The sequence below is a fragment of the Homo sapiens genome, chromosome 1, assembly GCF_000001405.40.
Source record: "Homo sapiens chromosome 1, GRCh38.p14 Primary Assembly".
NCBI classification, from domain to species: Eukaryota; Metazoa; Chordata; class Mammalia; order Primates; family Hominidae; genus Homo; species Homo sapiens.
In genome coordinates this window covers 209,654,428-209,668,212 of record NC_000001.11, presented here as the reverse complement: position 1 = coordinate 209,668,212, position 13,785 = coordinate 209,654,428, and the positions used below count along the sequence as shown (strand labels likewise).

General features: G+C 45.1%; 1 long non-coding RNA gene across 3 annotated transcripts in view, besides 2 other annotated features; it reads left to right on the top strand.

Annotated features, from left to right (window-relative positions):
- Nucleotides 1-6,854, top strand: part of HSD11B1-AS1 (HSD11B1 antisense RNA 1) — an 81,204-nt gene extending 74,350 nt beyond the window's left edge. For all 3 annotated transcript variants that reach the window (NR_134510.1, NR_134509.1, NR_134511.1), the window contains exons 2-3: nucleotides 5,152-5,302; nucleotides 6,646-6,854. This is a non-coding gene — a long non-coding RNA (HSD11B1 antisense RNA 1). The remainder of the gene's footprint in view (nucleotides 1-5,151; nucleotides 5,303-6,645) is intronic.
- Nucleotides 10,318-11,517: an enhancer, noted in NCBI's record as "P300/CBP strongly-dependent group 1 enhancer chr1:209830041-209831240 (GRCh37/hg19 assembly coordinates)". NCBI's record gives its function as "activates an origin of replication core promoter dependent on BRD2, BRD4, P300/CBP, MED14 and CDK7 cofactors, with strong dependence on P300/CBP, by STARR-seq in HCT116 cells {active_cell/tissue: HCT116}" and the evidence as "EXISTENCE:reporter gene assay evidence [ECO:0000049][PMID:35650434]".
- Nucleotides 10,788-10,857: an enhancer, noted in NCBI's record as "active region_2468". NCBI's record gives its function as "activates an Ori minimal core promoter by ATAC-STARR-seq in GM12878 lymphoblastoid cells {active_cell/tissue: GM12878}" and the evidence as "EXISTENCE:reporter gene assay evidence [ECO:0000049][PMID:35858748]".

Genomic DNA, 13,785 nt, shown 5'->3' with positions numbered 1-13,785 from the left:
AATGCCCCAGATTCTTTGCATGGCATATAAGCCACCCACCATCCTGTCCTTGTCTGCTTTTCCAGCTTCATCCCATATCCCTCAACCCTCACTCTCTGGGTGCCAGTCACACTGTTCTGTTCCTTTGCAGACGCAGGTTCTTCCCCATGTAGTTCTTTCCATGTGGAGAGAGCACTTTCTTCATCCCCTGTGGTCTGGTGAACTCTTACTCATCCTCCAAGTGTCACTGTTCTCTCATTTCCTCAGGGAAGACCTTTCTTGTCACCTAGATAAGGCCAGTTCCCTTTGCTGCATGCTCCCATGGCCACCTCACTTTCCTTTTCATAACTCTGTTGTCTGTCCCCATTTCAGGGCTGCAGTTCTACTCAGGAGCGCTCTCTGTCTTGCTCAGTGCAGTGTTCTCAGAACTAGGGCAGTGCATAGTTCCTTTGAGGTGTTTGATACATAGCGACCAATCTATCTTCGACTGAACTATATCCTATAGGCAATGAGAGACACTGATACATTTTACACAGCAAAACACTACAAGATTGGCATTTTAAGTAGATCACTGTGGCAGAGTGCAGGATGGTTAAGGGAGGGGCAAAACTAGAGGCAGCTAGTGAGATGTCGTTACAGTAATTCAGGCAGGAGACCATGAAGAACTGGGCCAAAACAGAGGTAATGGGGAGAGAAAGAGACAGACTGAGTGATAAATCAGAAAACCTGGCAGACTTGTGCTGTGGAAGAGGAGTCACTTGGGGCTTGGGAGTCACTGGGGTGACTCCCAAGTGTGGGAATGAGAAGAGGAAGAACACCTCTGGTGAGAAAAATGAGTTCCATCTTGGATTTATTGAGTTTGGGCTGTTTATGGGACATGCAGGCAAAGATGTTCATCAGATAGTTGTATGTGAATCATGAATCAGGAGCTCTAGAGAAAGATTAGTTCTGAGGTCACTGCCCCTACTGTTGCAGCAATCCAGGCCCTCCCATGATTCCTTTCTTCTCCAGCATTATTTCCCTGGGTCAGTTGTTCTCAGCCCTGGCTCCACTTTACAATCGTCCTGGGTTATTAAAAACTACCAATGCCTGAGACTTCCCCAAGACAAATCAACTCTGAATTCCTGGAGGTGATTTTAGTGTGTAGCCAGAATCATGGACTACTTCCTAGATGACTTCCTCCAGTTCCATGGTTTGAGACTCCTTCAGTGCTCTACAGAACTTTCTGCAGCAATGGAAACGTTGCATATCTATGCTGTCCAATATGGTAGCCACTAGCTACATGAGGCTCTTAAGCAGTTGAAATGTGGTGAAAACTGGTGGCCTGAATGTTTAATTTTGTTTAATTAATCTAAATTTAAATTAAATAGCCCCCTATGTGTGGTTGGTGGCTACTCTATTGGACAGGACAGCTCTATACGCTAATGAATCTGAAATTTGTTTCTCTCCTGAGCTCCAGGCTTACATATTGTCTGATTTGCATCTCTTCTTGGATATCTAATAGGGTGTCTTTAAGTTAATGCATGCCAGATGAAATTCTTGATTTTTTTTCTTCAAAACTTGTTTACCTCCTAGTCTTCCCCATCTTGGGACACAGCATCACTTTCCACCCAATTGCTAAAACCCCAAACATGGAAGCTATCTTTTATTCCTTTTTCCCCCTCTCATCTCCCTCTTCCAGTTTTTCAGCAAGTCCTGTTAGTTGTATCAAATTGACACCTTGACTCCATCCACCCCTTTCCATCTCTAGAAGAGCATAGGATAGTCACAGCTATTTTAGTAAGTTACTGCATCTTCAGTGTGTGCCTTCTGAGACCTTTCTATGTATTAACTTACTAGGCCTACAAACAGCTCTATGAGGTAGGTAAACTAATATCCCTATGTTTATAGGTGAGGAAATTGAAGAACAGAAAGCTTTTGCAAAGTGCCTGGGAATCAAACGGCTAGTCAGTGGTGGGGATGGGACTCAAAACCAGATAATCTGGTTCCAGGGTCCATGTTCTTCACCATTCAACACTGTGTCCCTCTGGCTGGTTCCAAGGCCCCACGTCAATGTTTTCTTACTCTGGTTACATGTTAGAATCACTTGAGAAACTTAAAAAAAATACCAATTCCTCAACCCCATTCCAGGTCAGTTAAATCTCCTGAAGTAGGGCCCAGGCATCAGAAAATGGTAGAATATTCCAAGGACTTTTCATACATAACTAGAGTTGAGAACCATTTCCTCTATGTGACCTAGCCCCTGTCTGCTCCCCCAACCCTAGCTTTTACCCCTAACCTTGCTCATGCTGTTTTCAGCCCTTCTTCCTGCCCCTAGAAGAGGCCAAGCTCTTTGCTGCCACTGAACTTTTGTGCTTGTTCCTTCTCTGCCTAGAACACCCCTTCCTGGCATATTCTGGGGATTGAGTATGACTTTAGAGATCCTAAACCCTGGAAAGATTAAGGGTCCTCTACACTGCCCATCTAAATAAAAATAAACACAATATTACATTTTTAAAATATGTATAAGGAGGGGCCTACAGCATTCTCATTTTCCTAAGGGGTCTACTTCCATGTCTTTTTTGATGTATAAAAATAAACATTTTCAAAGGAAATTTTGGTGCTTCTACCTTACCAGTACCTTAAATATACGCTTAGCTTGTTTTGGGGAATCCAGACCTAAATCTTTTGGACTCATCCCAAATGTCACCTTCTCAGGGGGACTTCTCTTATCTGTCCTTTCTAAAGTGGCATTCTTCCCTTCCTGAGACCCATCTATCACACCATTCTGGTTTTCTCGTATTTCATAGAAAGCATCAAAATTTGTAATTGTCAGGTATAGTTTTTAGTTTACTAGCTTATTGTTTGTCTTCTTTATGAAGGAGGGTCCTGTCTGTCTTATTTGTTGCTATAACCTCCTCACCTAGTGCAATGCCTGATACAAAGTAAGTGATAGTTCCTGAATGAATGAATGAATGAATGTAGGCTCATGGATGGCAAGCAGCACAGAGTAGATTATAATCCCAAGGCAGATAGACTCATTTGGGTTGTTACCTTGTAAGACACTTTCTTCATGGGGTGGGAAGGGAGAAGTGAATTCATAGAAAGAGAGGACTGTTGTTGAAAGAGGGAGGGCCATGGCCTCTGCAACCTGGTGAAGTCTCAGAGCTCAGGATATGGCAGAAAGAACATGCTGTGATGTTGCATGGATTCTGGGTGTGGTGAGAGCTGATACTTACTTTTGGATAGTCATTTCCCTGTGTCTTCTCCAAACTTTCAGTAAAGTTTCTTAAACTCAACAGCTAAGTGTTTTGTTATTTGGAAAATTGAGGAAAGACCATGTGTTCATGCTCTGCTTTGGGGGCCAAGATAAGCAAGAGAGATTGGTGACAGCATAGAGAAATGGTGATAAGAAAGCTAGAAGTGTTTGGGGGCAGCAACAACTAGAATGGATTTGTACATTAGCATCTAACTTTAGAATTCCCAGAATTATTGTTATTTGGATAGTAGAGGAAAGAGTGACTCTTGGATGGCTAAAGAAGTCGAGGTTATTCTGGTTGCAAAATTAATAAGTTATTTGGTAATTATGTGTTTAATGTCTGTGTCCCATGACACAGTAGACTTCCTCTGGATAATGATTGTGTGTGAGTTGTTTACTACTATGTTGCTGGGTTCCTGGCATTGGGTGGGCACTCAATAAATATTTGTTGAATGAATGATTGGTTCTGGGTGTTTTTCTGTTTCTAGGTTATAAGTCAGAAGGGTCTGCTGAAATGTGATGAGGAAAACTAGAAGAAAAGTCCAGGCCCTGAGAGTGAATACCAGACAGAAGCTGGGGGTGGAAGAGTATCAATATGCAATATGCAGACTGATTTGCCGAGGAGGATTCAGATAGGAGATTCAGACTCCCAGAACAACTAAAAGGATAACAGGCACTGTCAAAGATCTAGACAGAAGGGCCAGAAAAGCAGCAGTTGGAACACACAGAGGGACTGTTGGTGAGAGAAGCTGCCCCTCAATGCTCATGTCAGCTCCTGGGATACTCTTGATCCCCAGGCAATGGACTTAAAGAAACAAACATTCCTAGACCCCATTTGGTTGTGGGGCGGGGCTTCTCAGCGTATTGGCTTTGATGCTCATTGGCCAAGGGCTGCAGCGGGCCAGAAACTAACAGTGGAACACATTATCATTGGCAGCACAGGGATAGACAGCAAATGTTAGACCTTTTTAATACACATGTTGCCTAATTCTTTGGGAGTGACACAGAATTCTTAAAACATGTTTAGGGGTACTTGATTCCTAAGATCCTCTGTCCATCTGTGCCCTCCTCTCCCCTAAACCCACATTTACGTCTTTCATTCTCAAGGTTCTAAAAGCTGGATCTTAAAGGCTCGAGTGACTAAAATCTATGGCCTGATCCCAGAACTATTTCAGTTTCAAATACCAAAAGTACTGCTAGTTTGGTTCTCCCCATTTGTAAGTACCAGCTAGGTTAGATAGAGTAGGAAGTTGGCATGTAACTCAAGGCTGCATAGGGTTGAAATTCTGCTGATGAGTGGATCAGTTCATCATGAATTTTCTCAGGTTCCAATTTTTAGGGGAAAAATTATTTTTTTTCTGGGTGATTTTCTTGCTAAGTTGTCCCAAGAGGGAATTATGGGGTAATATTCATGGAATCATACTCTTCAAGCACTTTTTATGGTTTTCTTTTGCCTTAAGAGTTCCTACTAAGAAATCAGTATCTGCTTATTGAGCACCTATTATGTGCAAACACTGGGCTATGAACTCAAGAATTCTCCTTGACTTCAAGGATTTTATAATCCATGTTTGGGGACAAATCACAAAATAATTAACATTGAACAAGCGTAAGTATGCAACTTTGAGATATTTAGAAAAGAGACTGACAAAACAGAATGGAACTGTTTGCCGATGGAGTTGTATAGGTCAAGGTCCACTTGCCAGAGTTTGGGAAGAATTTACAGAGAATGCCAGAGAAGCCACTGCTGATTCAGGAATCTGATCTGAGTCTTGGATTTAGGATCTTGCCAAGTATACAGGAGGTGGAGAGGGCAGTGTAGACAGGCAGAGTTGGATGAATCAAGCCTAAGTGTGGTTGAGAGAGCAGATGACTAAATCAAAGCATGTCTGTGAAGGGGGTTGTGTGAGTTAGGGCCTAAAATGCAACTTTTTCAGCTGGACCCTGGGTACCTGGCTGAAGACTTTGGACTTTAACCTGGAGATGATGGAGAGTATGCAGGATAAAGTCCATACCAAATCCAACGCCTAGCAAATGGAGAACAAGCCAAAACTAACAAGATAAAATGTAGCAGGAAAAAGTGCAAAGGTATGTGTGCGCCTGTGTGTGTGTATGCTCACATGTATCTTAAGAATGACACCAAATTCAAGAGTGAACAACCTGTTTTAACAGTATTTGGCTCGAAAAAGACAGAGTTGTTAAAGTTTCTACAAGCTCAATATGGGTTTGTGGTGTGATTTGGCTGGGAAAAGCTTCCTGCACGTCAGGCCGCAGCAGTGGAGTAGAGTCTCCTGCACAAAAGCCATACTGGCAATACTATTTTCTTCCCCAAGTCCCTGAAAGGAACTGCTATTCCCATGTGCTGTTTCCATCCAAGTTTTTCCTGGACTTGAGGCAAACTTTACTTTCTCAGATCATTGTGCATCTTCATGCAGAGTTTACTGAGCCACCTGAGGTAACACTTCTAAAAACTTGGAGAAAAAGTATTACTGTCCAAACAGAGTGATCAAGTATTCCAGTTTGCCTGGGACTGATGGGTTTTCTGGGATGTGGTACTTTCAGTGCTAAAACGATGAGAGTCCTGAGCAAACCAGAATCACCGATCACCCTGCAACAGACCAGAATCTTCTCCTTGATTTTCTCCCACTTCCAGTGGTATGTCTTTAAGAGACTGAAGAGGTGGCATACATGTCTCATAAATATTTATCCTCTGGCTTTAATTTGCAGAGGTCTCATCTATGTTTTTAAGGTTTTTCAGGAGAGCATTCTTGTCGTGTTCTAGGTTTTGCAAATATAGAATATTCACCACAGCAGCTTTTCCTACCAGTTTCCTTGAGATTGCCTTTTCTATAAATTGTCCCATATGTCATTTCCTTTTGGCGACAAGTAGATTCCCTCAGTCTTGGTAAGCCAAGTGTAGTGGAAAGAACACAGACTTTGGAAACTTAAAAATCTTCTATTGAGGCTGGGCGCAGTAGCTCATGCCTGTAATCCCAGCATTTTGGGAGGCCGAGGTGGGCTGATCACCTGAAGTCAGGAGTTCGAGACCAGCTTGGCCAACATGGCGAAACCCATCTCTACTAAAAATACACAAATTAGCCAGGCGTAGCGTTGGGCGCTTGTAATCCCAGCTACTCAGGAGGCTGAGGCAGGAGAATTGCTTGAACCAAGGAGGCAGAGGTTGCAGTGAGCCGGGATGACACCATTGCACTCCAGCCTGGGTGACAGTGCGAAACTCCGTCTCAAAAAAAAAAAAAAAAATTCTGCTATTGAATTCTGGTTTCACTATATACTGGTTGTGGTGGACGATGCTATGTGTTTACCATGCCCTGCTTTGTTTTCCTCTTTTGGGCACATAGGAAAATTACCTAAGACCCCTGTGAGTAGTTCCAGTCAATGAGTTGTAAGCCAGATTGATTGTGTCATTTCAGAGCTGAAGTGTGGAATAAGTGGGAGAGGTCTGCCATGCCCTATCTGACCTTGCTGCCATGATCTTTAAGGCTGTGTGTCCTGGTTGGTGCAGCTACAAGATGGCAGAAATGCCTAAGTGATGGTATGGAACAGAGGATCCCTCTTCTCACCATTGTCTTGCATGTTTCCTTGTGTGAACCACAAATAAACTTTTGTTATGTTAAGCTGCTGAGATTTTGTGTTTGATTTATTACTGTAGCAAAGCATATCCTAAAGTATTAGCTCTGTGATCTTGTGCAAGCTACTTAATGGTGACGTTGTAAAAAGGGGAGTATAAGATCTTCCTGAAAGAGTCATCTTAAAGGACCACAGGGATTCCTAAACAAGGTATTGTGTATACATTTCTTACCATGGGGCCTGGTTCATAGGAGGAGTTGGAAAAATATTTTGCTTCCTTCTGTTCTTTCAGAAAAACACAGATATTTCTTTCTGGTGTAGTACTTAAAGGGGTAAATACAGTCTCTAATATCCAAGAAGCACACATGCCATCTCCTGATGATGGAGGGACAGGCTTCTCCCTGCACTGTTGGTTCAGTTCTCAGTCCTTCACCTGGAGTGGCCTTTGACAAAGGGGCCCTTACCCAGAGGATGCCACCATGATGTCACGGCATCTGAAACCCAGGGCACCTGTGCTCATTTCTAACCGTTATATTTTGGAAGATTACTAACAGATGGGGGACTTTCTAGAGGAAGATGACCAGGTTAGGAAAAAATCTGGCAGTCATGGAACTGGATAAACAACGTACTGCGAGTGAGGTTGCCAGATATAGCAAATAAAAAGACAGAAATCTCAGTAAAATTTCTGATAAACAATACGTATTTTAGTATAAGTATTCCCTATGCAATATTTGGAACCTACTTACACCAACAAAGTATTCCGAGATCCAGTTTTAACTGGGATTCTTTTATTTGGCAATCCTAGCTACAAGGAGTCATGGTCTTTTGTTGGAAACAGTACACAAATATGACATAGAGACATAACATCACAATCTTGGGCATATATATACATTTATACTTGAACAATATGAGCTGCTGGGTGTACAGAGTTCTGAGTGAGCAATGGGAAAAATCAAAGTCATTATCCTGGGAGATGTCCATGGGAGAAGCAAATTTGGACGAGAGTAGTAATTTTAGTTATCCTTACTTCTTTCTCCCAAAATGTAGATACACGAGAATTGACTCTAGTTCTTTCTTTTTGGTTTGTCCTCATACATACAAGCAGTTAGGAAGCAGGAAAATAAGGTGCTGGTAGTTACTCGTGTGTTCAGTCCTCCCTCCCTTCCTGTCTTCTTTCCTTCCTCCCACAACATTTATTGAGGAACTGTGCTAAGTGCTCTCTTGGCGTAACAAATCCTGCCTCAGGAAGCAATACTTCTTGAAAACGGAAAACCCTATCTTACAAAATCTGCAGTGATGCAGAAAACGTACACAGCATACTCTCAGGCAGTCAGTGGGTTTAGTGAAAGGGCATTCAGGTCAAGGAGGGAGCAGAGAGAGGAATGACTAATCAAAGATCACTTGTAATAACAAGATTTACTCTTCTCATCCTAAATCTTTTTACCTTACTGTCACTGATTATTCTAGTAAAATACGCTCATTGTGGAAGAAGAGAGCACACAGAGAAATAGAAAGGGAAGAGAAATGTTAACATTATATTTATTTTCTGAGTACTTCTTTCTTTAGAGTGAAGTAGATTTTGGGGTAAATTTTTTTCCTTTTTTCTGCCAGCTAGTAGTACCTCCTAAACATTTTCCAAAGTTATAAAAATCTTTTTATGATATTTAGATCAAAAGGGGGCAATTTTGAATTCTGTTTGAAAGGGAAAGAGTTAAATTGAGTAAAGAGTCATCACCTTTGTCTGATAGGTGAAGGCAGGGGCCCCGGGAGAAGAAGTGCCTTTTCTCTACTGCCATCAGTCTTCCTGGCGATTATCCTGAGTTCAGTTGCAAACCTGCTGTCCAGACTAGCTTTGACTCCTTTTTTTTCTTTCTTTCTTCTTTTTTTTTTTTTTGAGACGGAGTCTCGCTCTGTTGCCCAGGCTGGAGTGCAGTGGCGCAATCTTGGCTCACTGCAAGCTCCGCCTCGCGGATGCACGCCATTCTCCTGCCTCAGCCTCCCGAGTAGCTGGGACTATAGGTGCCCACCACCATGCCCGGCTAATTTTTTGTATTTTTAGTAGAGACGGGGTTTCATCGTGTTAGCCAGGATGGTCTCCATCTCCTGATCTTGTGATCTGTCCACCTCAGCCTCCCAAAGTGCTGGGATTACAGGCATGAGCCACGGCGCCCGGCCTTCTTTCTTTTTTTAAATCAGATGTTGGACTCTGGTTTTACTAACTCTTGAAGGCCATAAAACAATAAGTCCATTAGCTGATACTTGCCCCTCTGTCCTCTGTCCTCTGTGTTTGTAAACACTCCCTCCCCTCACACCCATTGTCTCTCCCTATCCAGCAAGGCTGGAAGCATCCTCCTACTAAGTCAGCTTAGCTCTGACTGGTCCCCCTGGGGGTCTTCTCTTTCTTTCTGGTCCAGGTCATGGCTACTGGGGAGTTTACAGCTCCTAAGGAATAAGGTGGAATGCGCAAAGCACAGATGCTCAGCTTGGGGCCTGGGGCTTCCCTGGAGGAGGAGAAGAGGAATGGCCCAAGCCTGCTCATTGCCCAGTGAGTGACTTATGAGCCATCTGGATGGGAGTGTTAGTTGCTTTGTGTTAGCAGCTGCAAAGACTGCTGATCATAGCCCCCAATACCTGTGTGTGAAGCACACATGGGGTCAGACACCCTTTGTAGAGCATGGCCCTAGCCAGGCACTTTGCTGACAATTATGCATGTTTCTTTTAATCTTCACAGTATCCATGAGGTAGATTTGTCATTATTCCCATTGCAGGAATGGGACTATCGGAGATTAAACGAGCTGTCCAAAGTCACACAGATAGTGAGTGCAGAACCAGGACTTGAGCCTTCATCTCTCAAGTCTAGGCTTTTAACAACTGTCCTGCACCACCCCACCCTGAGGGCACAGCATCTTATAGCTGGAGGGGGCTTCAGTGTTTCCCAACCCTGGCTGCACATTAGAATCATCTAGGGAGCTTGAAAAACATATGTCTCTGCCCGTCTGCCAGTGAATAATTCTCTGGGTGAGGCCTGGTCTTGGTATGTGATATATTATGTTCTCCAAGTAATTCTGAGGGGCAGCCTGAGTAAGAACCATTAGAATCTAATACCTTTAATTATAAATAATGAAACAGAGGTTCAGAGAGGATTTTGCCCAAGTTTACAATTCTATTGAGTAGCAGAGCAGAGCTACGGTCAAGTCCATACACATACCCCGGTGTAGCCACAGGCGCTGTGGGCAGGTGCTGATTAAAAGCCCTTAGGTGGTGTTGATTCCAGACAAGAAGCCAGACGCACCCATTCTCTCTTCCCCATCAAACCACAAGGTGCTTATTTCTCCATACTCAGCCATCAAATGCCAATTTAAACTAATGCCAATTTAAACTACGTGTTAGGACACTTAGTTTGTCTGTCTAGTAGCCCTTTCAGGGATCATATTTAGAATTTGAAAGTCCTGTGGGGCAGCCCTGTGAGAGCTTCAAGAGCAGATTTCAGGACACAAAAGCCCCAGCTCGCTCTCAGCCATTGCTTTCCCTTCTTCTTCCCCAGAAGCTCCCGACCTGTCAGACCCACCATGCCACGTGGCTATGTGCCCCTTCAGACAGCTGTATGTCTCTCTCCTCTCATGGAGGCTGGACCATGGCCACATGGCCAACTACACATGGCAAATGTTATCCAAAGGTCATAAAGGTCGGACTTAGATCCCAATAACCTAATCCCCAGAGGTCAATGACCAAATAGAATCACAGAATAGAGACAGAGGTGACTGGGGTTAGAGGAGGGGGTGTGGCGATGGGCCAGCCTGTCTGCCAGAGGAATGTCAGGAAATATGGGAGGGGATGGAGGTGGTAAGAATGAAAAGATTCTTCTGTCTTCTCTGGGAGCCAGCCAGCCATGGGCCAGCATATGGCTCCACCAGGCTGTAGGCTGTACTGGGCTGTACCCCTCAGGAGGGCTGGGCCATTTGGAGGGCACACTGGGAGACAGAGCAGAAGGAGCTGTAGCCTGTGAGGTGGCCCAGGCTCTTGACCTCAGGGCAGGGGATCTCCTTCCTTTGGCAAAGGGGAAGTTGTGTCATCCTCTCGTCACGTCCTCTGCTTCACCTTGTCAGCTCACCAGAATGTTGCGGTCACCTTCTGTCCACGCCTCCTGGCGTGCTCCTGTCCTTAGTCAGAGCCACCCCTGTTGGTATGAAGGAGGAAACCCTGCTGGTATGTGCTGGAGCCTCTGAGATGGAAGAACTGGAGGCCAGCACCTTCTCCATCTGTGCCCATAGAAGAGAGGTTGTCAATAAGGAAAACAAATAAGGAGGTAGCACCTGGTGGGGTTTGTTCTAGATGTCTCTACAGCATCAGTGTCACTCCTGGAGCCCCTAGACAGTATCAGTGCTCCTAGGTTTGGAACAAGGGCACAAAGAGGAGGTTTTTTGTTGTTGTTGTTGTTTTAAGACAGGGTCTCACTCTGTTGCCCAGGCAGGAGTGCAGTGGCCCAATCTCGGCTCACTGCAACCTCCATCTCCTGGGTTCAAGCGATTCTCCTGCCTCAGCCTCCCGAGTAGCTGGGATTATAGGCACCCACAACCATGCCCAGCTAATTTTTGTATTTTTAGTAGAGACGGGGTTACACCACGTTGGCCAGGCTGGTTTCGAACTCCTGACCTCAAGTTATCCAACCACCTTGGCCTCCCAAAGTACTGGGATTACAGGCGTGAGCTACGGCGCCTGGCCAACAAAGAGGAGTTTTTAGACATTGGGAGACATGAGGTCCAGAGTCTGGTGAACTCTGGCCAAGGATTAGCCAGGGTGCACTCTGGGAGTTCAGGTGATATGGCCCATCTTTGGCCCTGTGTAATGGTTAAGAATATGCGTGCTGGAGCAAAATGGCATGGGCTCAAATCCCCAGTTACTAGCCAAGGCCAAGTTATCGAAAATGTGCCTCATTTTCCTTGTCTGCAAGATAAAGATAATTGTCTATCCCCACAGAGTTGTGGTGGGTATTAAGTGAGTGGATACATGCAAAGGGCTCAGAACAGTGCCTGGGCACAGCAAGCACTCAGCAGATATCAGCTGTAGTGATTTTAGGCCGATTGCCTGATTGCTCCCAGTCCTCGGGCTCAAGCTGCATGCACAGTTGTCCACTGGGTAAACATTCAGGTTGGATAGGTGAGGGTGGGGAGAGGAGAAGGGCTATGGAAGAGTCACTCATGACAGGCGACTTCTGTCCTGCTTAGCCTCCCCTCTCCTGAGGCTGGGCTCCTATCTGTGCCTCCGTAACACACCAGGCCCACTTTCTCTCCCTGGTTCCTGGGGAGGCACAGAGAAGAGTGTGACCAGTTGTCTGGACAGCTGAGCAGTTGTGTTGTAGTGCAGGGCAACGCAAGCTTTAGTCACATGGCAAATCCCCAGGGCCGTTCCTGGAGTCCACCCTGTCCCACAGACGAGGACTCAGCCATGATTCACTGTATTCAGGTGTGGCCTGAGCTTGAGTCACCTGGTGCCCCTTCCTCCAACACCTGAGAGTCACAGCCTGGACCAGGTTCTCCTATGCCCCCTGAACCTCTTCTCTCTCCTTTTCTTCCTCCTTTTCTCCTTCCTTTGTTCCCTATCCCTTGATCTCTGATTGATCAGATCTTGGCTGATCTCCCTAGCGACTTGGACGGTTTGAGCCTGACAGATGGATAATAGACACAGTAGCTTATAATGCCACCCCCACACCCTGTCAGAGACATTGCCAGGAATGACTGAGAAGCAGGCAAAGAAGGAGACTGCCTCTGTCAATATGGTGACATTTCTGTAATTGGAGATAGGTGCCTCAAAAAAGACCTCCGCACTCTGGCTGATACAGGAATTTCCACTATTAGTAATCCATCCCAGTGCCCAAAGCCTGGATTGTCCCCTCTGAGAATGCAACTACACATCAACGGCACAGGGGATGCATTGAACTGTATCAATTGTTTGTACTTTAGTGTGGATCCATTCATTCCACAAGTATTGAGCACCTACTATGTGCCAGGCACTTGGAAAACAGTAGTGAATAAGATAGAAATCTCTGCCTTCTTGGATATTACATTCTAGTTGGGAAGAGACAGAAAATAAACATAAGCAGATAAATTATATAGTTGGTTAGAAGCTGGTACATGATGCCCCCCTACCAAATAAGTAAATAAATAACTCACCAAAATATAGGGTAGGTGGGGTTAGGAGTGTTAGGATGGGGGACAGGGATGGGGCAGGGAAGTTGGCTGTAATTTTAATAGTGTGTTTAGGATAGGCCTCATTGAGAAGTTAGGATCTGAACAAAGACTTTGAAAGAGGTCAGAGAGTTAGCTTTGTAGATATCCAGGGGCAAGACCGTTCCAGGCAGCAGAAGCAGCTGGAGCCAAAGCCCTAAGCCTGAGCTAAGACAGGGATAGAGGCCATTGTAGTAGAGGTGAAGAGTAATGGGAGGAAGGTGGTGTAGGGTCCCCTAGACTCTGAAAAAGCTCTGGCCTTGGCCCTGAGTGGGATAGGGGCATGTGAAGATTCTGAGCTCGGGGTGCATAACCTGCTGTGTTGGGACTTGACTGTATATCAGTGAGGAGGCTGTTGCAGACGTCCCAGGAAAAGAGGCTCAGGCCAGGAGGGAAGAAGTAGATTCTGATTATTATTGGAAGGCAGAGCTGACCGAATTTGCTGATGGAGTGATGAGGTTTGAAAGATACTGAAGTCTGGGATGACTTCACTAGCCACTTTCCTGAGCACACATTCTAATAAGTCAAGGCTCTAGGGCAGATAAGTGCTCTGTTGTAGGAGGATGGGCGCAGGGAGAGAGGAAAGGTGTGCACACAGGGGAGGCTGAGGGGCTCCAGCCACAGTACCACACCCCTTTAATCTTAGCTGGACCCTGATCTGGCCTCAGGCTCTATTTTAGGCTACTTGACTGAACAAATTGGGTTCTGAAGCTCCAGAGCTTGTGCCTGGAGCCCTGGAGTTCTTGGGGGACTGGATCC